Source organism: Homo sapiens, chromosome 5 (assembly GCF_000001405.40).
Source record: "Homo sapiens chromosome 5, GRCh38.p14 Primary Assembly".
NCBI classification, from domain to species: domain Eukaryota; kingdom Metazoa; phylum Chordata; class Mammalia; order Primates; family Hominidae; genus Homo; species Homo sapiens.
In genome coordinates this window covers 61,615,706-61,631,309 of record NC_000005.10, presented here as the reverse complement: position 1 = coordinate 61,631,309, position 15,604 = coordinate 61,615,706, and the positions used below count along the sequence as shown (strand labels likewise).

At 46.0% G+C, this 15,604-nt stretch overlaps 1 long non-coding RNA gene across 1 annotated transcript; it reads left to right on the top strand.

Annotated features, from left to right (window-relative positions):
- Positions 1 to 3,242: 3,242 nt before the first annotated feature.
- Positions 3,243 to 6,911, top strand: LOC105378997 (basic proline-rich protein). Its single transcript, NR_189165.1, has 3 exons — positions 3,243 to 3,329; positions 4,377 to 4,512; positions 5,964 to 6,911. It is a non-coding gene; the product is annotated as a basic proline-rich protein (long non-coding RNA).
- The last annotated feature ends 8,693 nt before the right edge of the window (positions 6,912 to 15,604 follow it).

The window sequence follows — 15,604 nt, the reverse complement described above, 5'->3', positions numbered from 1 at the left end:
CTTTGTGTCTCTAATTGTTGATAATGTCTGTGTTTCTTTTAATATCTCTATATTACATGCTGTTGCCATCATTCTCCATTTCTCTTTACCCGCTACTACTAATAATATTGAATGCTTTGCTGTGTGCTGAAGCATTTCACATTTGTATTATCACATTATCCTCACCACCATTTTGAGAGGTAGGGGTTATCATTGTACCCATTTCACAGATGCAAAACTGAGGTTTAAATAAGTTCAGTAACTTATTTGTTTGTCCCACATTCCAGGGAGTAAAAGTGACAGAGACTGGCTTCATCCAGATTTATGTGATTCCAACATATGGGACCATAAAACAGGTCCCGTTCCTGTTTATAAAGGTTTCCTGATCCCACTCCCTCAGTGCTTCTTAGGGCCAGGGTCTCCCACACTAAATCTTCCCATCTGGATCTGTTTGTTTGGGGCTTGGCCATAGCATATGGTAGAGTCAAATGGATTCAGGACTAACAATGAGGATAAGGGAGTGGGGAAGGGAGTAAACTTAGATTCCTATTTCTGTCAGATACCAAAATTAATTCCATATGAACTAAAACTTTAAGTGAAACAAGCCGGGCACAGTGTCTCATGCCTGTAATCCCAGCACTTTGGAAGGCCTAGGTGAGTGGATAACTTGGGGCCAGGAGTTCAAGACCAGCCTGGCCAACATGGTGAAACCCCATCTCTACTAAAAAATACAAAAATTAGCTGGGCATGGTGGCTCATGCCTGTAATCCCAGCTACTCAGGAGGCTGAGGCAGGAGAATCGCTTGAACCCAGGAGGCGGAAGTTACAGTGAGCAGAGATTGTGCTACTGGACTCTAGCCTGGGAGACAGAATGAGACTACATCTCAAGAATGACAGCAAAGACAAAAGCTATAAATTAAAATATTACAAATTTTGACTGCACAACATTTTTTGTATTATTATACTTTAAATCCTGGGATACATCTGCAGAACGTGCAGGTTTGTTACATAGGTATACATGTGCCCTGGCGGTTTGCTGCACCCATTAACCTGTCATCTACATTAGGTATTTCTCCTAATGCTCTCCCTCCCCTTGCCCCCACCCCCCAACAGGCCCTGGTGTGTGATGTTCCCCTCCCTGTGTCCATGTGTTCTCATTGTTCAACTCCCACTTATGAGTGAGAACATGGAGTGATTGATTTTCTGTTCCTGTGTTAGTCTGCTGAGAATGATGGTTTCCAGCTTCATCCATATCCCTGCAAAGGACATGAACTCATCCTTTTTTATGACTGCATAGTATTCCATGTGTATATGTGCCACATTTTCTTTATCCAGTCTATCATTGATGGGCATTTGAGTGGGTTCCAAGTCTTTGCTATTGTGAGTAGTGCTGCAATAAACATGTGTGCATGTGTCTTTATAGTAGAATGATTTATACTCCTTTGAGTATATACTCAGTAATGAGATTGCTGGGTCAAATGGTATTTCTAGTTCTAGGTCCTTGAGGAATCACCACACTGTCTTCCACAATGGTTGAACTAATTTACACTCCCACCAAGAGTGTAAAAGCATTCCTATTTCTCCACATCCTCTCTAGCTTCTGTCTTTTCCTGACTTTTTAATGACCACCATTCTAACTGGCATGAGATGGTATCTCATTGTGGTTTTGATTTGCATTTCTCTAATGACTGGTGATGATGCGCTTTTTTTCATGTTTGTTGGCCACATAACTGTCTTCTTTTGAGAAGTGTCTGTTCAAATACTTTGCCCACTTTTTGATGGAGTTGTTTTTTTTCTGTAAATTTGTTTAAGTTCCTTGTAGATTCTGGATATAAGCCCTTTGTCAGATGGATAGATTGCAAAAATTTTCTCCCATTCTGTAGGTTGCCTGTTCACTCTGATGATAGTTACTTTTGCTGTGCAGAAGCTCTTTAATTCAATTAGATGCCATTTGTCAATTTTAGCTTTTGTTGCCATTGCTTTTGCTATTTTAGTCATGAAGTCTTTACCCATGTCTGTGTGCTGAATGGTATTGCCTAGGTTTTCTTCTAGGGTTTTTATGGTTTTAGGTCTTATGTTTAAGTCTTTAATACATCTTGAGTTAATTTTTGTAAAAAGTGAAAGGAAGGCGTCCAGTTTCAGTTTTCTGCATATGGCTAGCCAGTTTTCCCAATACCATTTATTAAATAGGGAATCTTCCCCATTTCTTGTTTTTGTCAGGTTTGTCAAAGATCAGATGGTTGTAGATGTGTGGCATTATTTCTGAGGCCTCTCTTCTGTTCCATTGGTCTATATACCTGTTTTGGTACCAGTAGCATGCTGTTTTCATTACTGTAGCCTTGTAGTATAGTTTGAAGTCAGGTAGTGTGATGCCTCCAGCTTTGTTCTTTTGGCTTAGGATTATCTTGGCTCTGTGGGCTCTTTTTTAGTTCCATATGAAATTTAAAGTAGTTTTTTCTAATTCTGTGAAGAAAGTCAATGGTGGCCTGATGGGGATAACATTCAATCTATAAATTACTTTGGGCAGTATGGCCATTTTCATGATACTGATTCTTCCTTTCCATGAGTATGGAATGTTTTTCCATTTGTTTGTGTCCTCTCTGATTTCCTTGAGCAGTGGTTTGTAGTTCTCCTTAAAGAGGTCCTTCACATCCCTTGTAAGTTGTATTCCTAGGTCTTTTATTCTCTTTGTAGCAATTGTGAATGGGAGTTTACTTGTGATTTGGTTCTCTTTTTGTCTATTATTGGTGTATAGGAATGCTTGTGATTTTTGCACATTGATTTTGTATCCTGAGACTTTGCTGAAGTTGCTTATCAGCTTAAGAAGATTTGGGGCTGAGACAATGGGGTTTTCTAAATACACAATCATGTCATCTGCAAACGGAGACAATTTGACTTCCTCTCTTCCTATTTGAATACCCTTTATTTATTTCTCTTGCCTGATTGCCCTGGCCAGAACTTCCAATACAATGTTGAATAGGAATGGTGAGAAAGGGAATCCTTGTCTTGTGCCAGTTTTCAAAGGGAATGCTTCCAGCTTTTGCCCATTCAGTATGATATTGGCTGCAGGTTTGTCATACATAGCTCTTATTATTTTGAGATACGTTCCATCAATACCTAGTTTATTCAGAGTTTTTAGCATGAAGGGGTGTTGAATTTTATCGAAGGCCTTTTCTGCATTTATTGAGATAATCATGTGGTTTTTGTCTTTGGTTCTGTTTATGTGATGAATTATGTTTATTGATTTGCATATGTTGAACCAGCCTTGCATCCCAGGGATGAAGCAGACTTGATCATGGTGGATACGCTTTGTGATGGACTGCCCAACAGTTTTAAATGTAAATTGAAAGGTAAAAAGCAATTGACAAATGGGAAAAGCTTGCAAAATGCATGAGAAAGAATTAATAGACTGAACATATACAATGTTCTTACAAATCAGTAAGAAAAAGATGAATACTCCAATTTAAAAATAGACAAACAGAAAAGAATAAAAAGGAGACTAATATTCATGATTGGTAAGGATGGAATTCTGGCAACAGACTTCTGCATTTTCTGCAGGTGGGAGTATGAAATGACATAACATTTCTAAAGGTCGGTTTGACAAAATGTAGTGAAACTTTAAAAATGCAGAACAGTTGGCCCAGTCGTTTTGAGGAATAGATTTTAAGGAAATAATTAAGGACATGCATAGTGACCCAGCAAGAGAATGACCTTGGAATGGTGTGGACAGAAGTTAAAAAAAAAAAAAAAAAAAGCAAAAAACAAAAACTGGCAACATCCTAGAAGCCCTGTAAGAGAATCATTGAAAATATCGCACCGCATCCCTACAATGAAAGTTCTGTAGAATCATTAAGAATAGAGTATATTTATTAAACTATATTCATTAGAAGGATGTTCACGTGGAAAGATATTCACAGTGTATTGTTCAGAAAAAGAAAAAGCCAGTTACCCCACAGAATAACCGTGTTTGTACTCAGGATATACAAGAAAGGTTTGCCTCCAGCTAATGAGAATATGTTTGCCTCCAGCTAATGAGAATATGTTTGTTTAATGAGAATATATGGTTTTTGTTTTCTTTATGTATGTTTGCATTTTTCATTAACTCTGTGATAAACATGTACTGCTTTTGTAATGAGAAGGAAAAATACAATAGATGTTGTAAAAGAGGAAACATCACAGAGCCCCAGTCCTAGTTCCTGGATGGTTAAGAGTGGGTGGGTCCGGATGTAGTCACAGCACCCACCCACACTGTCCTGAGAAAGTTCTGGCCTGTGTGGGAAACCAGGTCTTGCCCTGTCAGCCCCCACTGGCCCCATGGAGGCCTGCCTTTTCCCGAGGCCCATCCAGCAATCAGTCCCCATCTTTACAGGGATCTGGGTCTCTTCTCTGTGTCCCAGACCCCAGTACTGGTCCAAGCCCTGAAGACTGCACCCAGGAAAGTGGAGGTATGGACAGAGGCAGCCGGTGCCTGAGGAAGCTCCACGGGGCAGGCAAGGCCCCCACGTCCAGTCTCAGCCCCTCTTTTGGCCACATGTGGGTATTCGTTCCTCCTTTTGGTCTTCCTGAAAACACTCTTTTGACCCTCCTGCGCTTGGTGAAGATTCATAGTAACCTAAGGTGGCCCCTTCTCTGCAAATGTTGCCGGACCTTCCAGCCCATTGGCTGCTGCCTCAGTCTCCCTCCACCGTCCCGGCCCCGCCCCCCCCGACATTGCCTCAAGTTGCCCCTGGGTGGCTCGGAAGCAGATGTGCAGCCAGCAACCAGGGGGGCTGCGCCGAGGCGGGAGCCACCCCGCGAGGCGCTGGCATGGGCAGGGCTGGCGGGTGGCTGGGAAGCCATTTGCATCGAGTGCCTGGTTCCCGGAGCGGGGGACTGGGATTGTTCCTGCTGGAATCCGGGGGGTTCACCCGCCTGGGCCGCCGGCTTGCAGGGATCCCGCCGAAGCCTGTCGCCCCCAGAGCACCGGTTCTCATCTCGGGAACCCCAGGTGCCCCCACGCTACCCGGATGTGGGGCGGGGATCTCAGGGGCGGGGTCCTCCAGGGACGACAGTTCCCACCCGGCCCAGGAACCCCCGACTTCCCGGCTTAGGAAAGCTGGGCTCGGCGGAGGCCCAGGGCTGCCCAGCTCTGCCTCCTCGGGGGCAGGCGTCAGAGACAGGAGAGAACCCCCGAACCCCGCGCCAGCCTGTCCGGGGCCCCGGCCCATCGGCCCCACTGGCCCTCCCTGCACCTTTCCGGTCTCCTATTGGCCAATCTAGGGGTCTCGGACAAAGTGCAGCGACCACGGCCCCTCAGGTCCCGCCGCCTCCTCGAGGCGGAGGCCCCTGTTCCAGAGGCCGCCAAGCCCCGGCGATTCGCAGTACCCGGGCCACAGGGCCCGCCATGGGCGCTGCCAGGCCTGAGGTCGCTGTATCCGGTGGCCTCTGCGGTTCCACCACCCCCACCGCGGGATGGGCGGTCTCTGGGGAACACCGCCCGCCCGCCCGCATGACCGCGCTGGCCTTGGAGAGGGAGCCAGGGGACCCAACCGGCTTGTGGCGCTGCTGGTTGCGCCCGGAGAAACCGACCCGGGACCGGGGAAAAGGGGTGGAGGCCCGGCAGTCGGGCCACCTCGGAGCTGCGGAGCTCAGGAAAGGCCAGCACTAATTTACTCAAACAGCAAAATTTAAAAGGAAATTTGAGACAGTAATAGCAGCGACATCTCAGAGAACGACAGGAAAAAAAAGTTTTGAATCAGGCTTTCGTGCAGGGACTCCGATTTTGCAATAAGCGCTTAATTAAAAATAAAATATATTGATGCGGTAGGCAAGTCGCGTTCCTGGGAAGGTAAAAACACAGTGGACTCCCCCACACCCCAGATGCTCCACCTGCCTGCTGTAATTACAGGGCTTCAGAGAGGAGGGAAAAAACATGACAGAGAGAAATCTGCTTGCATATTTTTCTTCTATTGTGCTGAGCTCATTTGAATTATAATGTGTTGCAGGCCGGAGAAGGAAATTTTGTGCCTTGAATAATGAATCCCCCTGGAGCCCACGGTACCTGTACTTCTCTTTAGTGTCCACTGAGAATAACGTGTTCGACATTCAAGTGACAACACTGGAAAGCATTTCAAAGCCCTGGAGCCCCAGAACGCTGTACACCCCGACGGCTCTTCTGCCTGCCCTCTCTTTGGCTTCCAAATGCAGCAAGCTCTTTCTTTACTTAAAATGTGTTCATCTTTCACACGCATCCTGGATGTACCACAGAAAGACAGTACAGATAGGCAGGCTCTTATTTCTGAAGCTGAGCTGGTCCCGCCCAGCACAAAGCTTTAAAGCTGCTAAGGCTCCAGGATATTATCCAGTTTTTAAAAATGGAAAAACTGGGAACAGGGAGGCTCAATATCTTGTCCCAGGCCCAAACAGGCTTTTCTGGAGTCAGTATCATTCAACTGGCTCAGGCTGGATTTTCATAAGAAAAGATAATAAACATTTACTAATGTAATAAAATAGACACCTTTTAAGTCACAAGCAGTATCCAAACCTTTGGGACATTCTATGGTGCTGAACAGCTATTTCATAGAGGCTTTATGTTAAGGAGCAAGTGCAGAAAAAAATCTGAAAATCTCAGTAAGATGAGAAAACGAAAGCTTTACAAAATGGTAGAAGAAAGTAGTCTCTCATGCCTAAACTTCCAAATAAGTTTTTGTTTGTTTGTTTTGGGTTTTTAGTTGAGCATTCTTTCTGGTTTGAAATAGATTCAGAAGGCTTTTTAAAACAAGTCACTTTTGGCCAAATATATTAAGGTATAACCAAATGATACCATAGATCCATTTAGAAAACAGAAAGTTCTTTACTGACATGAAAGGATTTCTAAGACATATTCATAAGTAAAAAAGCAAATATACTACTATTTGTATGGGATGAAAAAATAAAAGAAACATGTATATACATACTTGTTTGTATATGCATAGACTATCTCTCTGGGTGGATGTTGCCTTTTAAGGGGGGAAGGCTGAGGTGGGAGGACAGAGTTTCTCTCCTTTATCTAAATCAGGGGTGTCCAATCTTTTGGCTTCCCTGGGATATATTGGAAGAAGAAGAATTGTCTTGGGCCACACATAAAATACACTAACGATAGCTGATGAGCTAAAAAAATGCAAAAAAATCTCATAGTGTTTTTAGAAAGTTTATGAATTTGTGTTGGGCCACATATGGCCTTGAGGGCCACAGGTTGGACAAGCTTAATCTAAATCCTTTGTTATTTCAGTTTTAAACAATGTAAATGAATTGTTTGCTTAAAAAATAAATTAAATGTAATAAGTATTAATATCATTCAAGTGATAACACAGCCAAGGAATGACAAGGGTTAACTGATAATCCTGATTTTTACAGGTAATTGTAGTCATTACTTCTACATCTTTTATCATGTCTTTTAACCACTTGCCAAAGGAGGCGCTGATGTGGAGTTTTCTCCTCTGCCTGCCCTCTGCTCTGCTCTAACACAGGCCCAAATAGGCAGGGAAATGACCCCGCAATGGGTATAGGAAAAAATAGAAAAAGGAAACAAAGACTAGGTTTAATCAACAAGTTAACAAAGGACAGCTGACTGCACTCATTTACTTTCTGAGCTAGGACATTTTCTTCGTGTCCTGAGAACTATTTCAGGACTTTTTTTAAGTCCCTACTTATTAACATTCTAAGAGCTCTGAACTGAAATGCAGAGAACCCCAAAGCCTGGGAAAGGCAAGAACTCTGCCAGACCTTGTGGGTCTGGCTGAACCATCTTGAAATAGTTCTTTAGAGTGTGCTGTACCACTTCCAGCAGCCACAAAGGGCAGGCAAGCTAAGAATGTCATCTACATGGCCCGAGATGTTCCCCGCAAGAGCTCCCAGTCTGGCTTTTCAGATGCTCAATCCTGCAGTCCAACTGATACCAGGATGCCCAGGGATTGAGCCCAAAGAGCCCAGCTGGGCCCAAAAAGGAGCCATCCTCCCCAAAGACGGAGTATGGAAACTTCCTCTGAGATAGGCTCCCCCTGCCCAAACAAAACAAAAAACACAGAAGTCCATCTCTCCTTTCACTTGTTCTCTGATTCCCTTTAGCAGAGCCCAAACCTTTCTCCACTAAGAGCAATGTTTCTCAACCTCAGCACTTTAACAATGGCACCAGATAATTCTGTCATTTGGGGGCTATGCTGTGCATTGTAGGATACTGGCCTGGCCTCTGTGTACCAAGTGAGTAGCACCCTTCCCAAAAATGTCTCCAAACACTGAGAAATGTTCCCTGCAGAGCGGGGGGGGCAAATTGTTCCCAGCTGTGAGCCACTAAATTAGGCACTAAAGTCCAATAATTCTGAGAGATATAACAACCTTTTCATGTGTTTAATACAATGGTAAAATGTAAATCATGTTTATGAAAATCATTAGTAGACAAATAATATGAGAATAAGAAGTCAAAATTATTGAGAAGAGATGACACAAACTACAAATGTGCCTGCTATTTAGGGTGTTTATATTAGTATTTGCTGGGAGTTAGAAATATGATGGGATTCAGGTGACATGAAGATGTGCTGGATACATTCCTTTTACCCCACCCGGCCCTCTAAATGTGCTCTCCACCCTTGTCCACCTTGCTTTGTGCCTCAGGAAGGTGACCCTATGGGCTACATCGACATGCTCACTCTCTCTCTGGCTTTGGATGGGTTTGGCCCATGAGAGGAACTGGCCAATGGCAGCATGGGAGGAGAATGAGGTTGATTACCCTGGATCCCTCCTGGCCAGATCATGGTTGATTGGCTGCTCTCCTCCTCCACAGGCCATGGCTGCTATTGGTAGGCTGTCTTCCAGAGCTGCATCTCTCTCTCCAGCATGCAGGAACTACATCCCCCCTGGGCCCTGCAGGCCTAGAAGTGGTAATGGTGCCCCACTGTTGTTAGCTCAGGATACTGCACTGTCTTTTGTTCATTTCCCTAAATCCTACCCACACTTTTACAAGTCATCCTTTTGCAAAAATCTCCTCCGATTACTCAGTTTGAATGTGTCATCTGTTTCCTGCTCAACCCTGACCTATACGGATGAACAGAAAATCATTTGAGGGGACAGTGGCCATTCTGGGACAGGATTTAGGAATTCTTGGATCCCTTGACCAAACACTAAAATGCCTTGTACCAAAGCAGTTCCTGATACCTCTTCTCTATTTCTCCCCCCAGTTACCAAACCCAGGCCTGAGATCTCTCACTCATTCCCTGTAACTTGAAAAAGCATTTGCCCCTATACCAAGAGTAGATGTTGTCCAGGCCATGTTTAGCCTTCTCAAAACAGTCATGAGCAAGGACTAAAAAAAGAGCATCCATAAAATGGAAAGATAGCAGTTCCTTACCCTAAGAGACCAAGCTCTATCTGTTTTGTCACTTACGCTACAAGGATGACACACTTACCCCTTTGAGAGTGCACTATTTGGAAAACAAGGGTAAATGACCGTCCTCCAATGTAGCACAAAATTTCTCCTTGAGGCATAGAATACCTCTGTCTTAATTCTAATGTATCCAAGAGGAGAACTAAAATACACTGGGCACATGGGAGGAGTGGGGGTCTTCTTCACTAGCCCCTGGACTGTCTGGGTTAGACCAGGGGATATCTGCCCTTCCAGGCCTCAGCTGCCAGGAGGTGGGAAGGCACAGAGCTCCCGTATGGCACTGGCCCATGAGCACCCAGTGATCTGGAGGGCAGGTGTGGCAAGGATGGCCCCAGGGAGCCAGCTCTGCATCTGGCAGCAGTGTCTCTGGGCCAGGCCAGGACAACAACCTCGATTGTCCCTCTCAACAGTAGCCTTGCTGATCCCGGAGAAAAGAAAGCCATGGGGCCATTTGGACCAAGCCTCTGCAGGAAGAATGCTGCCCTTTCTCTGTAGCGCTGGATCCGATAGTCATGGAATCAACAGCTCAGAAGCTGGCAGCCCCCTCGGAGGCCTGGGCACCCTCCCCCATGGTCACATGGCCCAAGACACTCTGTTCTTTGTGACAGCCACTTGGCAGGGTGGGCCGAGGACCTCTGTAGACAAAGATGCTTCAGGTGCCCCTGAACCCCCTGGAAATTGATGAACGATCTCCTTTTATCTGTGCCCCAGCATGCCCAGCTCACCTGGCCCCCAGGCTCCCCACGGCCTGATGCTTGACTGTTATTCACAGTAGAAACAGAGACAGCATCAGATTCAGGGAGCAGAAGGGCAACACAAACACCTCCAGGGCTTTTGCCTCATGTGGCTAACGTCAGAGACGTTTTATGAAAACAAGATTGGAGGTCACATTGCTTCTTGGATAAAAGGAACTTTGCTTCAAAGAAATTTACTTGGTAAACAAAGCTAGGAAAATTGCCAGAATATCACCAGGCACAGCTGGCCACCTTTCAGCTGCCCAGTGTTTCCAGAGCAGGGATCTGGAGACCCAATCACTGAACCCCTGGAACCCTCAGTTTCCCCCTCTGTAAGAACACAAAGACAAGACTAAATGAATCTCAAAGCTCTTTCCAGCTCTACACTCAGTTCAGATTTAGGAACATCCCGTCTCTTGGCACCTACTAAGGAGAAGTTAGCCAAGAAGGAAAAGGGGACAGAGCATAATTCTGCAGCCGGCCTGCCCAAGTTTGAATCCTAGCTCTACTGTTTACCACCTGTGTGACACTGGGCAAGTAATTTAATCTCTCTGTGCCTCAGTTTCCTCATCTGAAAAGTGGGGATAGCTTTAGTACCTGGTTCATAGAGTTGTCATGAGGATCAAACAAAATAACATAGGTAAAGCATTTAGAGCTCACCTAGGGTAGAGTAGGCACACAATTAGCATTTGCTATTTTCCTTACTCTTTTTATTTATACAGAAAGCCATCTGAGTCCTTTCCTGTCACTAGTTCAGCCTTGCTAAAAGCTTTTGACAAGCAGGTTCTCAGGGCAGGGAATGGTATTTTTCTGGGGGAACTGAAGTCATGCCAACCTTACACTCCCTTCTCAGCTAGCATTCCCCTGTGCTGGCAAGGAGGGTTGGCGAGGAGTATGCAGTTCCTTACAAAATTATGCAGGACACGATGTCTACCAAATTAGAAAGAGCAGGGAAACACAGACGAGGGCCTGTCTACAGCCTCCTTGCAAGCCATTGGGAAGGCTTGCGACCAGGTTCTGAGCCTGTGGGAGACTCCTCCACTCACCCACTGTGCCCCCCAGCTCCTATCCAAAGCACCTCCTCTCCTCTAATCCCAGGTCTGGCTCAAGGCACTCACTGCCAGGGAGACATCTCATATCATTTCTTGGAACCCAGAAGCCACAGGCACGGCAGCCAAAGTGCTGGGCAGGAACTGAAGCTGGGTGTATGCTGAGGAATCACTGTCCCCATGGACCAAGTATGTGGGCACAGCAGGCAGGGCACGTCTATAGCCTGCCACGGTAACTCCCAGACAGCAGACCTTAGAAACCCAATCCAGGCAGGGCCCAAGAGTCCCTTCCTGCCAGCCGATGGCTAGACACCCCATTAACAAATACATGCTGGGCTGAGTGCTGGCTATGTCCACACCCCTCTCTACATCCCCCGGCACCTTCCTCGCCTGCTCTCCCTTTGTAGAAAGTACCCAGGGGCTCCCTTGCCCTCTGGCTTCTGGTTGGGTTTGGCCAAGAGAAGGCAGTAATAAGAGAAAGGAGGGCAAAAGGACAGTGAAGTCAGGTTCCCTATTTCCCCCAGAAGCCTTTTCTTCAGGCTCAGCTCCCTCCCCTTGACTCCTGGGCCTGGGAGTAACTGAGGCCTCTTCCTGTCACCCGCCCCTGTTGTTTGCCCTTGACCCTGCCCATGCCTCTGTTAGGAGGCCTAACTCTCCCCAGCTGCCCCGTGGAGCATGCCGTCTGCTTCCTGTGGGACCCTTAGATCAGCCAAGTGTTGAGCTAAGAGCTCATCCCTCCATCAGCTTTGCATCTTCTTTTTCTTTTTCATATTTGTACCACAAAAGGATACATATAACATACATGTAAGATATGAAACCAGGACCCAAGTTAAAAATATAGAAAAGTTACAGGCTTCCCTGTATGTTCTGTCATACACATGCACACACATCTTAATAACTTTGAAGCAGTCTGTGTGTTTCATGGCCAATGCTCATCACCAGAGACACACATGTGGGTGTGCACACACATACACACACAGGCACAATTCACCACAGCAAAAGGCTAGGAATAAAATAATAACCTTCCTTTTCTACTTGTCAGCCCAGAGCTCACAACTCAGCTGGCCCAAGACACCATGTGAACCTGATAGCCACACAAAGTTAGACCCCCAATGAGTAGAACACTGGAGAGAGGGAACATTAGAGTAATTCTCATCAGCCCTTCTGTTTTCTAATGGGGAACTAGGACAGAATGCCACACACCCAGGACTTCGGGGCAGCTTTTCTTCTGTCCTGCTGCGATAATCATTACTGTACACAGCCCAGCAATTTGGCGCCTCAGCAACCAGACTCCTGGTAGGTGCCTGGGCTTGACCATTACAGGGGGATATTATGATCATGATTACAGGATGACTGAGCCGTCCAGCAAAGTGACCAGTAATTTGCAATCTAATGGCCATTCAGTGGTGGGTAATATTATGGACCTTACCCTGCAATTGTAAAACAACCAGCCCTCTCTAATGTAGCATTTTTCCCATCAAAAGCCCAGCCTTTGCTTTTGATTTCTGTTAATCAGTGGCTGTGGCAGCTTTGGCTTTAGATTTGGAAAAGCTAAACAAGGGAGCATGAAATGATACACTTCTCTTTAGAGCCCCTGAATGGGAAGTTTAGGCAGTTCTGTCAAGTGGAGGAAAAAAATAAGTGAAAGAAGCATCTGGAAGGCAATTTCATTTCTTAAAAGAGCAACCCCAAAACCTTTGTAGAATGTAGCAAGAGTTGCCTGGGAATCTGGGAGACCAACAAAGCCAGGCATGACAAAGAAGATAGGTGTGTACACAGGTCCAGTTGGGTCTAATTGGGTGCACACCACAGCCCATGCTCACTGTGTGCATGCTCACACATGTATCTGCATGCATGCACATGTATACACAGAAGAATACAACTTCCTCTAACCACAGGGTTGCCTGCTGGGAGACTCCCAGGTTAGGCTTTGAGGGTCTCTCCTGTATGCTGTTCACAATTCTACCACTGGGAACAGCTCAGTTCCATCTTCCCTGAAGTCAGTGGGCGTGGGTCAGGAGAAAAGACTGAATTGGAGGTAGATGGATCAGGCCAAGAGGAACAATGGACAAGATGAGATTGTTGTCATTCCTGGACTCCATAGAGTCTAGATTTGGCGTGTCCACCTGCAATAAGTTCAGAGGGGGCTTTTAACAATGGAATTGGAAGGTAAAGAGAGATAATTGGCAAATAGCTAAAGAGGAAGATGACCAAGCCAAAAAAAAAAGAAAAAAACCAGTTCACACTATCAAGCAAGAAAACAGATACACTAGAAATAATGGTAAACATTGGGTTGACTCCTCCAATCCATTCTACCACAGATGTTTAATCTAAGCCAATCAAGCAATCCCAACGGACATGTGACTGAACCAGAGCCTATGAGACGTGAAAGGAAATTTCCTCCCTCTTAAGAGAAAGCCAGAGAAAGGGACAGTCTCTCTTCTTCCTTTGGATATCATCACATCCACAAGTGATGCCTGGAACAGCAACAACTATCTTGCTACCACCCAGATGAAGAAGTTAATATCAAAGATGGCAGAGGGACGAAGCACAAAGAATATGGGTCTTTCATTATGTCATTACTCTAACAAGCAGCCAAGCCTGGTATCTATCCAACTGGATCTTCAAGTTATGTAAGATCATATGTATTCTTTATTAGAACCAATATCAGTGAGGTTCTCTATTAATTGCAGCTTAGAGCACATTAATTGAGATCAGAGCCAAAGCCAGGAGGAAAGGCCAGAGCGGACCCCCAGCCAGACTCAGTGCTGATCTAGTGAGAGCTACTCACCCACTCCTCTAAGCCCAGGATCAGCCCCAGAGCAGCCTGGAGCTAGCTGAGTGTACAGGCATGGAGTTCCCAGCTCAGCTGCCACTCAGGGGTTTGAGAGGGCAGAGAGCCAGCCAGCCCATGATAAAAATCTATTCAAGGGCTACAGAACACAAATGTCCTGGCCAGTTGGGCACTCCCCCTTTCCTCTAGAGGCCTCCCCTCAGCCTCTTTCTCAGCCAGGGCCCACAGCTGCCAAACGTAGAGGCTGACTCCTGTGCTCCATGGAGCCCCTCTTGGAACGCTATATCCCCTGGATAGCTGGGGCTTTGGGGCACTTGTTCCTTTGCAAAAACTCCTCATTCCAGAGTAGTGAAAATGCACATTTATTTTTATTTTCATTTATTTATTTATTTTTGAAACGGAGTCTCACTCTGTCACCCAGGCTGGAGTGCAGCGGCACAATCTCGGTTCATGCAACCTCCACCTCCCAGGTTCAAGCTATTCTCCTGCCTCAGTCTCCAGAGTAGCCGGGATTACAGGCCGTGCCATCACACCCAGCTAATTTTTTCTATTTTTAGTAGAGACAGGGTTTCATCATGTTGGCCAGGCTTGTCTCAAACTCCTGACCTCAAGTGATTCACCCACCTCGTCCTCCGAAAGTGCTGGGATTACAGGTGTGAGCCACCGCACCCGGCCAGAAATGCACATTTGAAGGCATCTTCCCTCACATTCTCTGTTTGGCATACTGGGGATGGCAAAAAGGTTGAATTGAGTATGTTTCTAGTAGAAGTCAGTATTTCTGACTTTCAGCTTCAACGTTTCCTGAGTTCTTATGCTATTTGTGACTAATAGTCTTCCAATGAGAAGGGCAGTCCAAGGATCATCAGTGTTGACTTAATTACCCTTCAGAGATGCACAGGATACCAAGAGCAGAAAAATCTCAAAAAAACACAACTCTTTATTTTATAGATGGATAAACACGGAGGTCTAGAGAGATGAGAGAGGTGGTCATGATGGCACATACTCAGCGATTGATTGTTATTTCTGTCATCATCTATGACACAAAGTCAAGGTAGGGGTGCCCAGAACATGGTGGCTAATGTTTCCAAATTAATAGTGCCACTTCACAGAGCCCTCTGGGGACAAATCTACTTTTTCACCTAACCACTTTTTTTAGTCATAAATCATGAGCAACACTGCTGGTGCATCACACTGCTCCGTAGCGAACAGGAACAAATGCAAGTGCTTGTTACACATTTTCTAATTTCAGAAAAGGAAAAGGGGTTGTTGCCTGTGAGTATGGAGGTCAAGCTGCGTGCAAGCTGTGTTAGCAGGTAATGTGGGCACTGAGGGAGCCGGGGGCCATCCTGGTCTGCACGGACACACCTCCTCCAGAATAGGCTCTGGGAGCAGCCAGAGTCTCAGAGCTGACCCCATTCTGTCGTCTGCCTGCCCAGGAGGCGACCTATGGGCCATGGCCATGCCCACATCAGTGCTAGGCTGGGCCAGTCCCACAGAAGCCAGGGAAGCTATAGCCCACCTTGCCCCAAGAGAGGGGACACAAGACCTAGCACAATGGTTCCCAAAGCTGGCTGAACATTAGAGTCACTTGAGGGAACTTTTCCCTGGCCCCCCCACAGACCAATTCAATCAGAATCTCTGGGTGCGAGCT